This window comes from Homo sapiens, chromosome 9 (genome assembly GCF_000001405.40).
Source record: "Homo sapiens chromosome 9, GRCh38.p14 Primary Assembly".
NCBI lineage: Eukaryota > Metazoa > Chordata > Mammalia > Primates > Hominidae > Homo > Homo sapiens.
Genome location: NC_000009.12, coordinates 125512706 through 125529465, shown reverse-complemented (window position 1 = coordinate 125529465; position 16760 = coordinate 125512706). Strand labels below are relative to the sequence as shown.

General features: G+C 43.9%; 1 protein-coding gene and 1 pseudogene across 6 annotated transcripts in view, besides 2 other annotated features; both read left to right on the top strand.

Annotated features, from left to right (window-relative positions):
* The window catches only part of MAPKAP1 (MAPK associated protein 1), a 269815-nt gene that overhangs the window by 177743 nt on the left and 75312 nt on the right, over positions 1–16760 (top strand). Inside the window, exon 8 of one of the 6 annotated variants that reach the window (NM_001006618.2) lies at positions 7701–7998. The exons of the other annotated variants lie outside the window; for them this stretch is intronic. Within the exon in view, the coding sequence (NP_001006619.1) occupies positions 7701–7714 (14 nt within the window). The 3' untranslated portion in view covers positions 7715–7998. Of the gene's footprint in view, positions 1–7700; positions 7999–16760 lie in introns of those variants that run through there. 6 annotated transcript variants of the gene reach the window in all.
* Positions 1509–1558: an enhancer, noted in NCBI's record as "active region_29007". NCBI's record gives its function as "activates an Ori minimal core promoter by ATAC-STARR-seq in GM12878 lymphoblastoid cells {active_cell/tissue: GM12878}" and the evidence as "EXISTENCE:reporter gene assay evidence [ECO:0000049][PMID:35858748]".
* Positions 1609–1668: an enhancer, noted in NCBI's record as "active region_29006". NCBI's record gives its function as "activates an Ori minimal core promoter by ATAC-STARR-seq in GM12878 lymphoblastoid cells {active_cell/tissue: GM12878}" and the evidence as "EXISTENCE:reporter gene assay evidence [ECO:0000049][PMID:35858748]".
* RN7SL30P (RNA, 7SL, cytoplasmic 30, pseudogene) lies at positions 16259–16564 on the top strand (annotated as a pseudogene).

The following is a 16760-nucleotide window of genomic DNA, read 5'->3' as shown; positions in this document are numbered from 1 at the left end:
ATAATGTGTAACTGAAGTCTAAGAATCCCTGAGGGTCATGCAGATCTCTCAGGTACAGTGTGTCTGAAACCTAACTTATCCTTCAGTAGAGTCTTGGCTACATTTCAGGTAGTGAATAAGGATATAAGGGTGACAGTTGGGTGAACTCAGAGAGCTAACATTCTAATAGAGGAGATGGCTAATAAACAAAGCAATAAAACACATTTGATAGGAATTCTTGCTCTGGCTTTTGTTAGTCCTTCCATTTTCTTTTCTTTTTTCTTTCTTTCTTTTTTTTTTTTTTTTTTTCCTGAGATAGAGTTTCACTCATTTTGCCCAGGCTGGAGTGCAATGGTGCAACCTTGGCCCACTGCAACCTCCACCTTCCAGGTTCAAGGGATTCTCCTGCCTCAACTTCCCGAGTAGCTGGGATTACAGGTGCACACCACCACGCCCGGCTAATTTTTGTATTTTTAGTTGTATTTTTAGACAGGGGTTTTCGCCATGTTGGCCAGGCCGGTCTCGAACTCCTGACCACAAGTGATCCACCTGCCTTGGCCTCCCAAAGTGCTGGGATCACAGGCGTGAGCCACTGCGCCCTGCTAGTCCTTCCTTTTTTTTTTTTTTTTTTTTTTTTTTGAGACGGAGTCTCACTCTTATCACCCAGGCTGGAGTGCAATGGCATGATCTCAGCTCACCGCAACCTCCGCCTCCCGAGTTCAGGCGATTCTCCTGCCTCAGCCTCCCAAGTAGCTGGCGCCACAGGCATGTGCCACCACGCCCAGCTAATTTTTGTATTTTTAGTAGAGATGGGGTTTCACCATCTTGGCCAGGCTGGTCTCGAACTCCTGACCTCGTGATCCACCTGCCTCGGCCTCCCAAAGTGCTGGGATTACAGGCGTGAGCCACTGTGCCTGGCGGTCCTTCCATTTTCTAACTGAAAAGACTTCCTTGAGTCCTCAGGTTTGGGAGTTCCCCTCCTAGAGGGAGTCTCTCTGGCTCCCAGGCTCAGGCATAACTTCATTCTTTCCACTCGTTTCCACGCATCTCCTAATTGGGCTACCAGCACCCCTCCTTGATGCAGGCAGGGAGAAGTGGACAGGGCAGAAAGGGCTGGGTAAATTCATGAGCAGTAAATGACTCCATCAACAGTGGCCATCAAGGGAAACAGGCCATGTTCCAGCCATGGAAGCTGGGAAGGGACACTAATCCTCTCCAGAGATCAGTATCCCTCAGCCACTTAGGCTTGTGGCAGAGGCACTGTGGCCCTGTCCCCAGTAAGTTCCAAATACACTGATCTTGCCAGCTGCTGGTAAGCACCTTGCAAAAGAAGAGAATGAGAGCCCCCGCTTTTCCTTGAGTACAGTGAAAGCTCCTTTTGGAGAGGTAGGTTCCTTATGGTTTACCAGCACCGCAGCTGGCCCAGGGTTGGTGGTTAGCACATTTGTGGAATGAACTAAGATGTAGTGAAAACCAGTCCACAGCTCGTAGCCACGTGTCTCTCAGCCAGCCCACACCTGAGGCCACCACTTTGTGTTTAGGAGTGGATTCACTGTACTTTGGTTATCAGAGATTAAACTCCCTTGGAGAATTACATCATCAAATGAAAATGTAAATGTGTTTAAAATGAAAGGCGATGCATATCCGTTGAAATTAGTGTTGCCGCCCAGATTCCCGTAATGATGTGGATCTCTTCTGAGTCCTTGGGGAGCCAGAGGAGTATACCAAAAGCAGACATTTTAAACATTGATAGTCACGTAAGGGTGCCCAGCAGGAGGAAGTTACTGTAGGAAGCTACTGTATTGCAGAAAAAGAAAAGAAAAGCAAACTCACTTTCCAAAGGACGTGTGGGTGTGTGTGAAAGAGAGAGAGAGTGCACAGCCTAAGTCTTCATTCTCTCTAATGTAAGTTAATAGATATTGTCTGATATTTATAATAACTTATCTAAGTAGTTGAATGGGAATGTTAATAAAAAGTAGGACGGTGAGTGCCAGAAATCACACACACAAAAAAACTTAAACAAATTGCCTATAAGGAGGGACTCAAGAATGGGACAGGGAATTACTCTTTTTCATCATAGGACTTAACAGCATTATTTACTCTTAAAACTATATGTATGAGGCCCGGGCGCGGTGGCTCACGCCTGTAATCCCAGCACTTTGGGAGGCCAAGGTGGGTGGATCAGGAGGTCAGGAGTTCAAGACCAGCCTGGCCAAGATGGTGAAACTCCATCTCTACTAAAAATACAAAAAATTAGCTGGGCATGGTGGCACACGCCTGTAGTCCCAGCTACTCCAGAGGCTGAGGCAGAGAATTGCTTAAACCTGGGGGCGGGCAGAGCTTGCAGTGAGCCAAGATCGCGCCACTGTACTCCAGCCTGGGTGACAGAGTGAGACTACATCCCCCAAAAAAAACAAACAAAAAAAACACTACATGTATGAATCCCAGCATTTTGGGAGGCTGAGGCAGGCAGATCACGAGGTCAGGAGATCGAGACTATCCTGGCTAACACAGTGAAACCCTACCTCTATTAAAAATACAAAAAATTAGCTGGGCGTGGTGGCACACGCCTGTAGTCCCAGCTACTCGGGAGGCTAAGGCAGAAATCACTTGAACCCTGGAGGCAAAGGTTGCAGTGAGCTGAGATTGCACCACTGCACTCCAGCTTGGGTGACAGAGCAAGACTCTCAAAAAAAAAAAGAAAAAAGAAAAAAGAAAACTATATATATGCTACTTTGATTAAAGTTAATTTTTAAATTTTGTTAAAAGAAAACATCTTACTTTCAACTTCTGGAGTGTAGAAGGATCTTTCTTTCCTTACTTATGTGGACTTTGTCTATTTGAAAACGCCCTTTCTCCTAAAAGCAAACCATTCATTTCAACATGTTGGATGTCAGATTTCTCTGAGAACATCATTATTAAATAGTTGTTTCTTATAAACGTTTTCAAACTTTTTAAGACCAAAATGTTATATGAGTATAGTCAGTGTATTGTGATTCTGCCAACACTTTGTCTCTGTGACCCATATTTTCCGTAGGTTAAAGCATAAGCTATTAGCTGGATACTCTGTCCCATTGGAAGGATGACTAATATCTCAAATATAAATGAAAACAGCTGCTTTTCCATAACATTAGAGTCCCAAACAGCTGTCACATGTACATTTTGACATTCTTACTTCTTTCTAAATTGGGACAAAAATTAGTTTACTGGATTTGCTGATCTGGTTAAGTACATCATCTAACTTCTGTGGAGAGGTACAGAAGAGGTCATAGGAAAGTCCATGGAGCCAGCATGCAGACATCCCCAAAGGCTTGAACTTACTTAAAATGTAAACCCTGTGATGAGACCCTTCTGTGCCAAGAACATAAGGTCTGTAAGGGCCTGGCAGTGGCTGCTGCACCACTGCCACCTTTGCCAGCAAGCCTGAATCTCGGCAGCCAGCCATTGTTCTCTGTTCCACTGAAGAGATTGTGGAGTACCACCCCATTGTCTCCTGAACGCCTACGTCAGTGCATTCTCCTCTTCTGAGAGCCTTGGAGGATTTATTTCAGGAGGTGGCTGTTGCGGATCAGAAGATCATGCTTCCTCTATTGGCTTAAAACTGGTCATTCTCTGTCTTTGAGTTCCTTGCTTTAGTCTCCTCTTCAATAAAATAAGGTCCCAACCAGATCATAGTCTTCTGGTTGATAGCCTTAACTGTGGAGCTTAGTTAAGACCTGGGTTCTAGAAGACCTACCTGGTTCCACCCCTGCTCCTGTTACTTTTCCTTTTTTTTTTTTTGTTTGTTTTTGTTTTTGTTTTTTTGTTTTGTTTGAGATGGAGTTTTGCTCTTGTTGCCCAGGCTGGAGTGCAATGGCGCAATCTCAGCTCACCACAACCTCCGCCTCCCAGGTTCAAGTGATTCTCCTGCCTCAGCCTCCCAAGTAGCTGGGATTACAGGCATGCGCCACCGCACCCGGCTAATTTTGTATTTTTAGTAGAGAAGGAATTTCTTCATGTTGGTCAGGCTGGTCTTGAACCCCCGACCTCAGGTGATCTGCCCACCTCAGCCTCCCAAAGTGCTGTGATTACAGGCGTGAGCCACCGCGCCCGGCCTCCTGTTACTTTTTCTAGCTCTCTGATAAGTTTCTTAACCTGTTTGAACTTCGTTTTCCTCATTTATGAATGAAAATAATAATAATGTCTTCTTCATAGCATTATTGTGAGAATTAAGCAGCGATCCTTGCAAAGCACCAAGGACCCAGTAAGTCTTTGCTGTTATTATCTTATCACTCAGTAAATGTTAGTCCTGTCCCCTCCTTTCAGTTTCAGTCATGAAACCTAGTCAGACTCACAATTTTGTGATCTAATGCTCTTTTTGTATGAATATGACTGCTTTGAGTTATAGTTCAAAAGAGACTCTAGCTGCTAAGGAACCCAGCTCAAATTGAGTCCATGTATTAGGTACAGCCCAGAATGTGTGCATCTGTCTGCGCAGCTGCTCATTTGGGCTTTTCCAGGGGTCCGAGGCCCCTTGTCAGAGCAGCAGAGCATCAGCAAGAACATAGGAGTGCACGTGTAGGAATGACCTAGCCTTCCTCTGGAGCACCCTGCATCTGGAGCAGGATATGCAGAAGGGTTAAAAGCTGGAGAAACTTTAGTCATAAATTTTCTTTTCAGCAGGACTTCCCAGGGAACATCTGACATTAGCAGAGAGGAAATGCTGATTGGCCTGGGAGTCAGCTGAAGGAGACAGGAACTGCAGTGGAAGCTGCTGGATTTACTGTTATTAGCAAGGCAAATGGAAAGCCAGCAGGGCAGCCCAGCTCCCAGATAATAGATCTAACAAGAAAGAAAACTCTGAGAAAGGAAAATGGCTGACAGCCACGTCTCCTCTTCTGCCATTTTTCCCATTGCTTTTACCTTTTTGTTTTGTTTGTAGCACAAAGAGAAGCAACATGTTCGGTTGTAAGTCACAATTGGCTTAAAATAAAACAGGATATATAATTCAGCTTCTTACCTGTTTAAGATAAGAAGCTTGAGAGTTGAACATGGCAAAATGTGCAAAATTGTATTAATGTATTAAGAAATAGTTGCTATTTATTGAGCACTTATGTGCCAAACTAAGTGCTTTACATGTGTTATCTCATTTAATCTGTATAATAACCACATGAGTTAGAAATTATCATCATTCCCCACTTAGAGATAAGGAACCAGTGCTTAGAGCACTTAAGTAATTTCCAAAGGTCTTATGAATTGGTGGTAGTGCTTGACCCCACCATCACTGTCCTACCAACCTAGTAGAAGGTACTGAGGTGAGAACTTAAATGGCTGTTATAAAGCTGGACAGGGTAGTGGTAATTAAAGTGCTGGGAGTGTATTTAGGGCAACCTAAATCTATGCTCCTAGGTTGCAGTCCTCAAGCCTGGCCTCTTTACTTACGTAAAAAAATAAAAAATAAATAAATAAATAAGTACTCACCAAGGCTTGTGTTCTGACTTGAAACACAAACCTCAGTTGGCACAATGGTTATTAGAAGGAAGATGGGGCAGGCAGAGAGAAGCCCTGTTGACAGGTGGAGCCAATCTCTGAAGGATCTGGCCCCCACAGCAGGGAACAGGGCAGATGGGCAGTCAGCAGTGGGGGGCCATAAGGACAGCGGGGGAACTGCAGGTCCTGGCAGCAAGGACCAGGGAAGCAGATGATGCTCAGCACCTGGGGGTGGCCGTACCAAGAGCCACAGCTTATCCAGGGTTAGATCACAAAGGCAACAGGTGAGTAAAAATCCCATTGTCAAAATTACCTGTGGGAAAGAAAAATCTCTTTAAAAATGCCCATCAGAGGCAATGTAATTTTTCTCATTAAATTCACACAGCTTTTTTCTCTAGCATCGTAACAGCTAAAAGTACATATTTTTAAATGCTAAAATCAAACTTGGTCTAGAAAGACTGAGATACTATCATCCACCCATTTAATGCAGTTAGTCACTTATCACACATTTACAAGGTTCCATAGTTGCAAAGATGATTTCTGGACTCCTGCCTCATATTCCCACTCTTGGGGCTCATTGGATCACTGAGAGTCATGGCAAGTGGAATTCTCCCAACTGCTTAAATTGTGCTCTTGGTCAGGTCTCCCTCTTTTTTTCCTCTTTTCTACCTAGCAAGTATGGTTGAATTCAGATAAATTAAATGTATGATTTATGCACAAGGAAATCCAGGCGGGCAGGCAGTATCAGAGGGCAGGGCAGGATTTTCAGAGAGACACACTGGGAACCTAGCATGGCACCAGGCCTGAGGGCAGGGTTCTGGGCAGGATTGGGCCAGGAGCAAGGACAGTTAACTGAATGAGATGTAAAGGCCAAGGCTAGAGTTTTTAAAAAGGAAGCCCTGTTTTTGGTTGGCTGGGGATTGTAGAAATCCTATTGCCTTGAAGACGTTAACTGGTGCAACTTTCCCTATTGTGGGGAAAGGAAGGAGGCCAGTCTGGGACTCTGGTTGGGCCTGATATCATGGGGTCAGAAGGAGAGAAGATAAGACTTAGGGGATAATCAAAAAGGAGGGATGTGATTTTGACAAGCTGACGGAGTCAGTCTGGGTGAAGGGAAGGGCACAGCAGTGACATGGAGGTAGGAAACCAGGACATATATGCACTGAACAGTGAGTCTAGTTTGGGTCATAAAGGACATAGATGGACAAGAAATTAGGATGGATAGAAAGCCTTGAGAGTGGGGTAAGGAATTTGCATCTAAACTAGTAGCCTGCAAGGAAGTTGTGAAGGGATTGTATGAAAGTGATACCTTGAATCTACCAGAATTTGGCTCTGGAGAGCACTCTAACAATAGGGTGAAGAGTGGTTGGCTGGAGGCCAGAAGAAGGTTGGGAAACCATTACTGCGGCCTGAGTGAGAAGGAATGCAAGGGAGATGTATTAAGTGGGTAGAGTCTGCAGAACTTGGGAGCCGATTTAATGTCATCAACAAGGGGGAAGGCTAAGAAGTATTCCAAACTTGAGAGTGCCGTGTTCACTATGCCAAGTCCTTAGAGGCCAGATGCAGAGTCTTGTTCATCTTCATATCTACAGTGACTAGCTCATGACATGGCACATGGTAGGAGTTTAGTACAGTTTGATGAACCAACTGATTTAATTCATTGGGTGAATCGTAGTGTCGTCATTGGAAGCACAGTTACAAGGAAAAAAAGCTGGTTTGAGAATGGAAGGATGATAAGTTTATAGTTGATTGTCCTGTAAAATTAGAAGCAAAAAAGAGCTTAGAGTCTCTTTCTTCCTGCAAAGGCTGGTCCAACCATTCACTGGCAGTGGTGCTTCCCTGAAGAGTTGGTAGAAGTCCCTAAAGAGGCCCTGTAGCCTTTTGTCCCACCCTGGGCTAGAGCCCCTTCCACCAGGGCCACTGGCATCAAGCTAGCCAAAGAATAATCCTGGTGCCTCACTGAATCTGCTCAAAATCCTGTCAAGTACATACAACTACTGTATTATCCGCATTTAACAGAGGAAGAGACTGAAGTTCAGAGAGGAAGTGGTTTACCGAAGCCTCTGACATAAGCAGATTTGAATGAAAGTCTTCAGATTCCAATATATCATAACAGAGTCTGCTGACTGAAAACAATTGGCTCTAAGCTTGCTCTCCACTGACTCAGGTTGGAGTCACCACTTTCATGTAGCTCAGAGAAGGTTGAAGATAAATGAAGTCTCATTTTTGTTTCTTCTGTTTTTTGTCCTTAGGTGCTTGTGACTAAATTCACTAATTTCACTGGCTGTCAAGGCTGTGTTAAGGAAAATGGGTTTGAACTGCTGTGGGTTTTGAGTACTGGACTGGATGTCAGAAACCTTTGCCATCACGGGAAATTCTGTCACTCTGGATTTACTGTCTGTTCCCCACAGCTAAATTCCTCTGCAGTGTGATTTAGCACCCTGGATCCCCATCAACCAGTTTTGGCATTTATTTGAATGCATTACCCCACTGGTTTCCATAAACTATTTTACAATTGTTTAAAATAAATGACTGTTTATTTCCACAAAACCATCTGTATTTCTTTACAGAGCAACAGATAACTGTATGTAAAATTTGGTATTGTCACAGTGACTCAAGTTAAGAGAAACAGATTGGATTGAAAAATTGGATTCTTAGGGACAAAGGTAAAGGTTTCCAACCTCTCTAACAAGTGATATCTGGATTTCAAGGAGAAAAAAAAATTTCCTTTTTTACAAATAGTAGGGGACCTCCTTTCTCTAAAGAGAAGTACATTCCTGCTGGCTGCATAGTGACAGGATGTAGAGTATTAGCACTCCTCATGGTAGTGAAGGGTCTGCGCCTTCAAGCACACTCTCTGCCTACAACCGCATATATGAGGCTCCTGTCCAGTGGCTCCCAACCTTCTGCAAGTTTTGAAGTTTTTGGTTGTACATGTGTTACCTCTTCTTGTTCTGATGTTGAGTGGGCTCCACTTAGGCCTGTGTGTTGTGGCTCAGATAACTTTGGTAGGATATGTGTTGGGATAGGTGGCTACTGAAGATGGACCTGGGTAAGAGAACCAGACTGATGGGGATGAGGGATTGGACCCTGTCAATGATGGTCTTCCATTCTCCAGCCAATGTCCAGGTGAGTCAGCTAGATCCATGCTAGTTCCATCCATCCCTAGGAAACCCAGTCAGAGTTGGGACACTAATGGGAATCTCCAAACAGTGGAGGCATTTGGAGTCAGATGGAGGTGGAGCTCCAAGTCTACTTTGGAGGAAGAGGTAGGATGGTAACTAAGCAGGATGGGCTTGTTTCATCACCAGATAATCACTAAACATACCTGTATGCTGAGGCTGTCCTAGGAATGTAGGGACGCTGAAATGTGCTCTCCATTCTCAACTTGCATATATGTAGTACAAGAGGTCTTTGTAGTGTGGGTTGCACGAAGAAGTCCAGAGACAGAGGCATCTAAGCAGAGTTTTGATTCCTTGAGTGGGAAAAAACAGAGTAAAGAAGTGAAGTAGAGGGAAGATTGTTCCAAACTGAGGGACTAGTATGAGCAAAGACACAGATGGTTGAAATGGCATGGTTTGGAGGATATTTCTGGATTACTATATCATTAGAGGGGAGGAAGATGAGGCCAGTAAGGCTGACCTGGAGGTTTCAGCCTCTCCTAGAGAACTAGAGACCCTTCTCTTTCCGAGTGCTGCTTAGAAAGCAGAAGCAGCAACCCAGGCATAGGGACAATGCAGCTAAAGCTACAGACTTTATGAAAACTGTGGGCCAGGCATCCTTTCTACTTACACGTTTTACTTGTATTAACTCAATGAATCCTTGCAACAACTCTAAGATATAGATGCCCATTTTTACAGATGGGAAATTTTACAGATGGGAAAGTAATGCACAGAAAGGCTAAGTAACTTACCCAGGATTACATAACATGTGAGTGGTGGAGCTAGGACTTCACACCCAAGGAGTCTGGCTTATAAGCGTTACATCATACTGTCTCAAATGTGCTGGGGTCTGCAGAGTTTGCAGAACATTCCCTAGATACACACTTTATTAAGCTTAGGCAGGGATCAAATCCAGACCTTTTCTCTACCCACAGGCTGTAGGGATGGACTCCTGACCACCACTTATCTCAAAGCCTGCATGGAGGCTTCAGAACTGCCTTAGAGGAAGACCAGAGACATTATGGGACACCTTTGTTTTCTGTGGCTCTGGGTAGAATCCATGAGGAGGCTGGGGCGGGCATAGTTATCAGGCCATGGTGATAACAGGAGCGAATGGGATCTGACCCTTGGTCTGCAGTTGTGGCCTGCCTTTGTAAACAGTTTTTGTTATTAATTTTTTAAATTATATATATATATATATATAAAAGACATATATATGTATATATATTAGACAAGGTCTTGCTTTGTCATCCAGGATGGAGTGCAGTGGCATGATCATAGCTCACTACAGCCTTGATCTCCTAGGCTCAAGCAATCCTCCCACCTCAGCCTTCCAAGCAGCTAAGACAAGTGTGTGCTACCATACCAGGCTAATTTTTATTTTCTGTAGAGACGGGATCTTACTGTGTTGCTCAGGCTGTTCTTGAACTGGCGTCAAGCGATCCTCCCCACCTTGACCTCCCAAAGTGCTGGGATTACAGGCACGAGCAACCGCACCCAGCTGTAAACAGTCTTTGTAGTCTGGCCCCAGATGCTCCAGTCAGTCCTCTTCACCTTTGCCTGCTCAACCCCTTTAAGCAGCACTGGAAGCTTCTGTGGTCTACTTGTAGCTTGACTATGGACCTCAGGAACTCTTGAACAGGCTCTATCCCAATTTAGTTCCTGGCTCCTCAACTGTTTAGGTCTCTCTCCAGAGCCACTGAGCCTACATGATGTGTGAGGAGCCAGATGGTGTGAGAGGAGACTCAAGGAGGTTCCAGGGGCCACAGTCTTCCCTAGTCTGGTCTAGCTGGAATAATCTCTGAGATTTTTCCACCTCATTTTTTAAAATTGAATTTTTAAAATAAATGTAATACTTATAATGATCTACTGTCAAAAACCCAAATGTGATAGGAATCTATAAAGTAAAAATCAAAAGCCATCTTCTTTGCTGGTATACCTTCCTCTACCCCACAGGTTACTACAGGTAAAAGAACGGCTGTGAGAATGGTTTGGTTCATGACCCTCCAGATTGTGCTGTGTGTTTCACAAATCCACATATCAGTGCACCTATGTTTTGGTGCTTTTATTTTATTCGGGTTTTACTTTACTAACATGTAGCCTACTCTGTACATTCTATATCTTATAAATTTAATAATGTATCATAGAATTCTTCCCATGTCTTATTAACTTAGCTTTATTTTGTTTTAGAGATGGTCTTGCTCTGTTGCCCAGGCTGGAGTGCAGTGGCACCATCATAGCTCACAGTAACCTTGAACTCCTGGGTTTAAGCAGTCCTCCTGCCTCAGCCTGCCAAGTAGCTGACACTACAGCTCCACACCATCACAACCAGCTAATTTTTTTTTTTTTAATTTTTTGTAGCGACGAGGTTTCACTGGTCTCGAGCTCCCGCTCTCAAGTCATCTTCCCACTTGCACCTCCCAAAGTGTTGGGATTACAGATGTAATGTGGGATTACAGATGTAATGTGGGATTACAGATGTAATATGGGATTACAGATGTAATGTGGGATTACAGATGTAGTATGGGATTACAGATGTAATGTGAGCCACTGCACCCAACCAACTTAGCTTATTCTTACAACAACCATATGACAGCCCAGTGTATAGATATACCATAATTTATTTAATAGTTTCCTACTGGTAAATGTTTAGGTTGTATGAAATTTTTTATATTAAAACGGTACTTTAATGAACATCTTTGAACATACATCATTGTATACTTGGGCTAATATTTCTTAGGATAGGAATATTAGCTAGAAGAAGTAGATTGTTGAGTTCAATTTTCAAGGCCACCTTGTGGAAGGCATTCTATTTAACAACGATTATTAAGCACCAACAAAGAGCCTTTTGCTATGCTGAAGCCCTGGGAAGACAGAGTTGAGTTTTTTTGAAAGCCTCCCACCCCGTCTTCAAAGAGTGCCCTGATGCTGGCTAGGTGGGGGGAATGACAAATAGACAAAAGTACTTCTAATTCAGCATGCTTGGTGCACTGAGAAAAGCAAGGTCCCAAGGAAGGTGGGATGAAAGAGCTCTTAATTCTGACAGGGATTCAGGCAGGGCTGCAGAGAGGAGGGGATATGCCAAAAGGATGCCTCCCTGCTCCTCCCCAGAGCCCATTCGTGAGGCTAGGTATTCAAGAATAAATTTGTTCTAAAGAATTATGATGCTCCTACAGTTTCTCCCACACAAAGAAGGAAATTCAGCGGTACGCCCTTTCCTTTCCTCCTCTTGGCACTTTCTGATTGATGGTTGGAAATGATGGCAATACATAAACTATTTTTCTTTTTATTTTATGACCTGGTAATAGCAGTAACATATTTCCAGTAAATGTTTTCTATCACAATAAAAAAGTTGTAACAAGACTAGAAATGGGTATAGTTAAACCCTAAAGAAATCACACTTTCAGAACTGTGGATTGAGGCAGTAAGTCTGTAAATCACTTAACTTAGAAAAAGAACCCCCACCCCAACCCTGGAAAAATCAGGGCAAGCAGCTGGTGTTCATGTGACACGCCTGCTGTGAGGGTTGATGGACTCTCAGTTTTGACCCCCTCAAGATCAACTTCCTACTCTTCCCTGCTGCCTGGTCTCCCACACAGCATCTTTACTCCTTTCTGAACTGATAAATCATCTAAACCTTACAATTCTTTTTTTTTAACCCAAAGATCAAAACCTATACTGTTCTTTATGGGATACAGCAGAGCAGAGTGGTGAAGAGCACAGGCTTTGGAATTGGAAAAACTTGCATTCTCGTCCTGGCCTCACCGTGGGTACATGACTTAACCACTCCATGGTTTATTTTCCTCCTCTGTAAAGTGGGATTATTGTAGGGCCTACCGCATAGAGTTTTATGAAGATGCGGAAAGCAAATGCATGGAAAGCACGTTGTTAAGGGCCAGGAAAGTCCTCCATGTCAGTTGCTGATGCTGTTATTATAGTCCAGGAATGAAGCAATATTTGACTTGTTTTCAAAAAGGGCAAGTTGATGATTTTGTCAAATTTGTGTAGCAATATAACTGACATTTATTAAGTACTTATGTGCTAGGCATTGTGTTACACATAATCTGTGGAATTACTCCATGAAGGTTTAGATCCACTAACTTGCCCAGAGTCGCATAACTTGTAAAAGAGCCAGGATTTCAATCCAAGTCTTTTTGACTCCAGAACCCACACTCCAACTGCCACACATCTGCCTTCTAGGATTAGATGCTCACAGCAGCAATAGAGATTGTAAAACATTGGGTAGTTCTGTCTCACACCAAACATCTCCTCCTTTGGCTGATGAAGATTGTGAGCTGATAATATTGAGAGCCTGTGGCCTTGGAACTCCAAGGCCAGGCAAGAAAAAAAGCATTTTCTTTCCCTAATCATAAGTAGAGTAGCCCTTTCTTCTGCTTATCCTTATTTAGGCTCTGTTACTCTTAAGGGGATGAATGGCTGCCGCTTCTATGTGTCTGGTGTCCTTAACATGCTCTAAAAATTAGGCCTCTTCCAGTCTTTGTCTTTAATTTCTGGTTTTAGCTGACACCTTCATTAATGGTCTAGTGCAAGCTTTCTGTCGACTTGAAGACTGCTGTGTGAAAGTGGTTTTGCTGTCCTATCAATAATGGTCATAATTTCCCCAATACTCTCATCAGCAGTGAATTGAGTCTTGCAGCAAAGAAATGGAAACCCCAGTGCAGTGGTTTGAAAGTGATTTGTCTTGTAGACGGCGTCTTCTTTCAGTAAAATCAGGTCAGTGCGGCACTGCTGGGTCAGATGTAAGTCTGAGACAAATTAGTTGGAGGAAATTGATCATTTGAACCTTAGGTTATTTTTAGCTACAGTAGCTTTTTAATATCTTTTTTCTTTATATTTGTTTTAATAAACTTTAATCATCATCATCATTCGCCAAATTAAATGTCTTCTCAGTTTCAGCCAAGCCTTAGATAGAGGAAAGAGTGCCATCTACTCAGCCCACAGAAGCGGCCTTCCCTTCACAGTTTTGGGGCTTGCTTCCATGATGGCACTGTTGTTGTTTAAACACTGAAGCCCACTCCTCCTCATCTTCTGGCCGGCCCCCTTGCTGGGCTTTGTTTATTGCACCGACTGGCCCCTTGACCAGTCTGTTCTTCATTGCTATTGAAAGTTAATGGGGGCAAAATTGCATTCCCAAACATTTGAACCTGAAGTGGCCAGGGCCGAACTTAGTTGATCTCTGGTGATCGGTTCAATTTAGTTACGATTTTTTGCCATTAGGCTGGGGCTGAATGATGGTGATTTGGTTGAGGCCAAATGTCTGAAGAAAATTGGCTCTCTGATAAGAGTGCTGTTATCAGAGGGGGCTACCTTCTCATTTACATTTAGATGAGTATTGATTATTTATTTACTCAGAGAAGTGAGATTCGTTTCCAATCTTATCTTTCTCGTCTCTGCTTGTCAGCAGAAAGAGAGATAGAGCTCCTGACATCAAGCCAAGATAACAGCACTTTGTAGCAAAGATAAAAGTTGGAATGGGCCTTTTTCTAGTGTTGACTGAAAGGATAAGTTTTAAAAATTAGAACTGATGGGTCATGCTTTCAAAACCTTTCCTGAAGGTTTTGCAGTTTAACTAGGCAGGAGAATTGGTTTATTGGAACAGCCTTGGTCTTTCTTCTTTTGTAATAGGAATTGTATTTAATTTGATTATATTCAGCTGTTTCACAGAGAGCAAATGGTGTATTGGCTCAGAAGAGGCTAAAGTGTGACCTTATTGTCATGTCAGCTTGTTCCTTTTTTATTATTTAAATTCCAAACTATCCAATCTGAGCCTCAGAGGGGGTATAAGCTACAGCGGTTGTCACTTGAATATAGTTCAGTGCTTATATTAAGATCAAGCAGAAAATGATTATAGTTGCCTCTGGAGGAAGAGTTATAAGCGATGGAGCTGACACTAAATGCAGACATTTTAGCATAGCTGATGTTGGGTCCGAGCTCTGATACGGACGGCATCAGCGTAGTGGCTTTGGCTCAGTGAGGAACGCAGATTCAGTCAGCCCCTGCCATAGAGTAGTCAAGGCTTGGCACGATCCTCCTGGAATGGGTCTTCCTGCCATAAGTCTCCAGCCCATTGTCAGCAGTGCCACCAGAAGAATCTCACCAAAATATAAAGCTGATTGTGTCACTTTCCTGCTCTGTTAGCACCTGTTGCATATGAGAGAAAATCCAAATCTTGACCAACAATCTGGGCCAAGCTTCTCAGCCTCAGCTCCTCCTTGAACAAGCTTGCTTTTAAGCTATAGGCAGCATTTAAGATTAGAGACTTGCTCGGCAGCCAGGATTCACAGTTCCTCAGTCTCTCAGGTCCTACAAATATTGACTAAAAATGACAAGTAAATGTCAGAACCCACAGAACAAACCATGATCGCACAGATATCAAAGGACATGTGATGCTACACTACCATCCAAACATCCATCTAATGAATATTTTTTGAGCATCAACAATGCACCAAGCACAGAGATTACTCATCCCTGCCTCGAGGCTGGGGGAGGCAGCGAGGCAGCTTGAGCTGGTAAATTATAGAAGAGCCCAATGAGTGTTCCTACCAAGGTAGGAACAAGGCGCTGTGTGGGAGCACAGAGAAGGGGACAGGTAGCTCCACCCTCCCCTTCCCTGAGGTGGAAACATCTGAACCAGGTTGTCTTGAAGCAGGACTCAGAGCTAGGTGAAGAAGAGGGAAGAGGGAATGGCACGTGCAGAAGCCAGGAGGCACTGAGGAACCCACGTGGACCATGGAAGGTCATTGTGGAAGAAGCCAAGGCTGTGTGGGGTGGACATGTGAGCTCAGACCCAGCGTCACGTGTCCTTTGATATCTGTGCTGCCGTGGTTTGTTCTGTGGGTTCTGACATTTACTCGTCATTTTTAGACTATATTTGTAGGACCTGAGAGACTAGGGAACTGTAGGAATCCTGGCTGCTGAGCAAGTCTCTAATCTTAAATGCCGTCTGCAGCTTAAAAGCAAGCTTGTTTAAATAGATATGCACCCTGCACCCCTACTTTGGACACACGAGGGAAAGAGCACAGACTTTCGCTTTGATGCCAGCATTCCCTGCCCCGGTGTGCCCTCCCTGGTAAGGCTGTGAGCCTGTTGTGACTCATAGGCTAGGGATCTACCTAAACCTTATTGCAGTGGTTTCTGTTTCAGTCTGTATTTGCAATAATAGCAGCTCTCATTGACCGAGCACTTTGCTAAGGGAAGTCCTGCATTGTCTCATTTAATCCTCACAGCAACCTTCTGAGGGAAGCTCTGTTATCCCTATTTTACAGATGAGTTTAAATTCCTTCCCAAGGATGCATAGCTGGCAGCGTTACTCCCTCTCATGGCACAAACACCAGGGATGTTCTGCTCAAGTCTAGCCTTTCCTCTTACTGCTCACACTTAGCTTTTTTCTGGCTACCAGAAGCTCTTTCAGATTAAAGCAGCTCTTTAAATTGGTGAATGGAAAACAGTTGACATGAAGACATAACCATGAAAGTGTTCAGCTTTTGACTGTCATTTTTCCTTGCACAGGTGATTCTCAAACTTGTTCTTATGGTCAGCAATGATGATGATAGGTTAATTCACTTATATCCTACCTTGATCCCAAAAATATTTGGAATTATTATAATAGATTTTAAAATACACAAACCACTGAGTGCAGTGGTGTGTACCTGTGGTCCCAGCTCCTCAGGAGGCTGATATGGGAGGGTTGCTTGAGTCCAGGATTTCTGGGCTACAGCCTAGATCAGCGCTATGCTGATCAGATGTCCACACTAAGTTCAGCATCAGTATGGTGAGCTCCCGGGAGTGGGTAACCACCAGGTTGCCTAAGGAGGGGTAAACCGGCCCATGTTGGAAACGTGCAGGTCAAAACGCCTGTGCTGATCGGTAATGGGATCGCACCTGTGAACAGCCACTGCACTCCAGCCTGGGCAATATAGCGAGACCCCACCTCTTAAAAAAATATACATACGAGGCTGGGCACAGTGGCTCACGCCTGTAATCCTAGCACTTTGGGAGGCCGAGACAGGTGGATCACAAGGTCAGGAGATCGAGACCATCCTGGCTAACATGGTGAAACCCCGTCTCTACTAAAAAATACAAAAAAATTAGCCGGGCATGGTGGCGGGCGCCTGTAGTCCCAGCTACTTG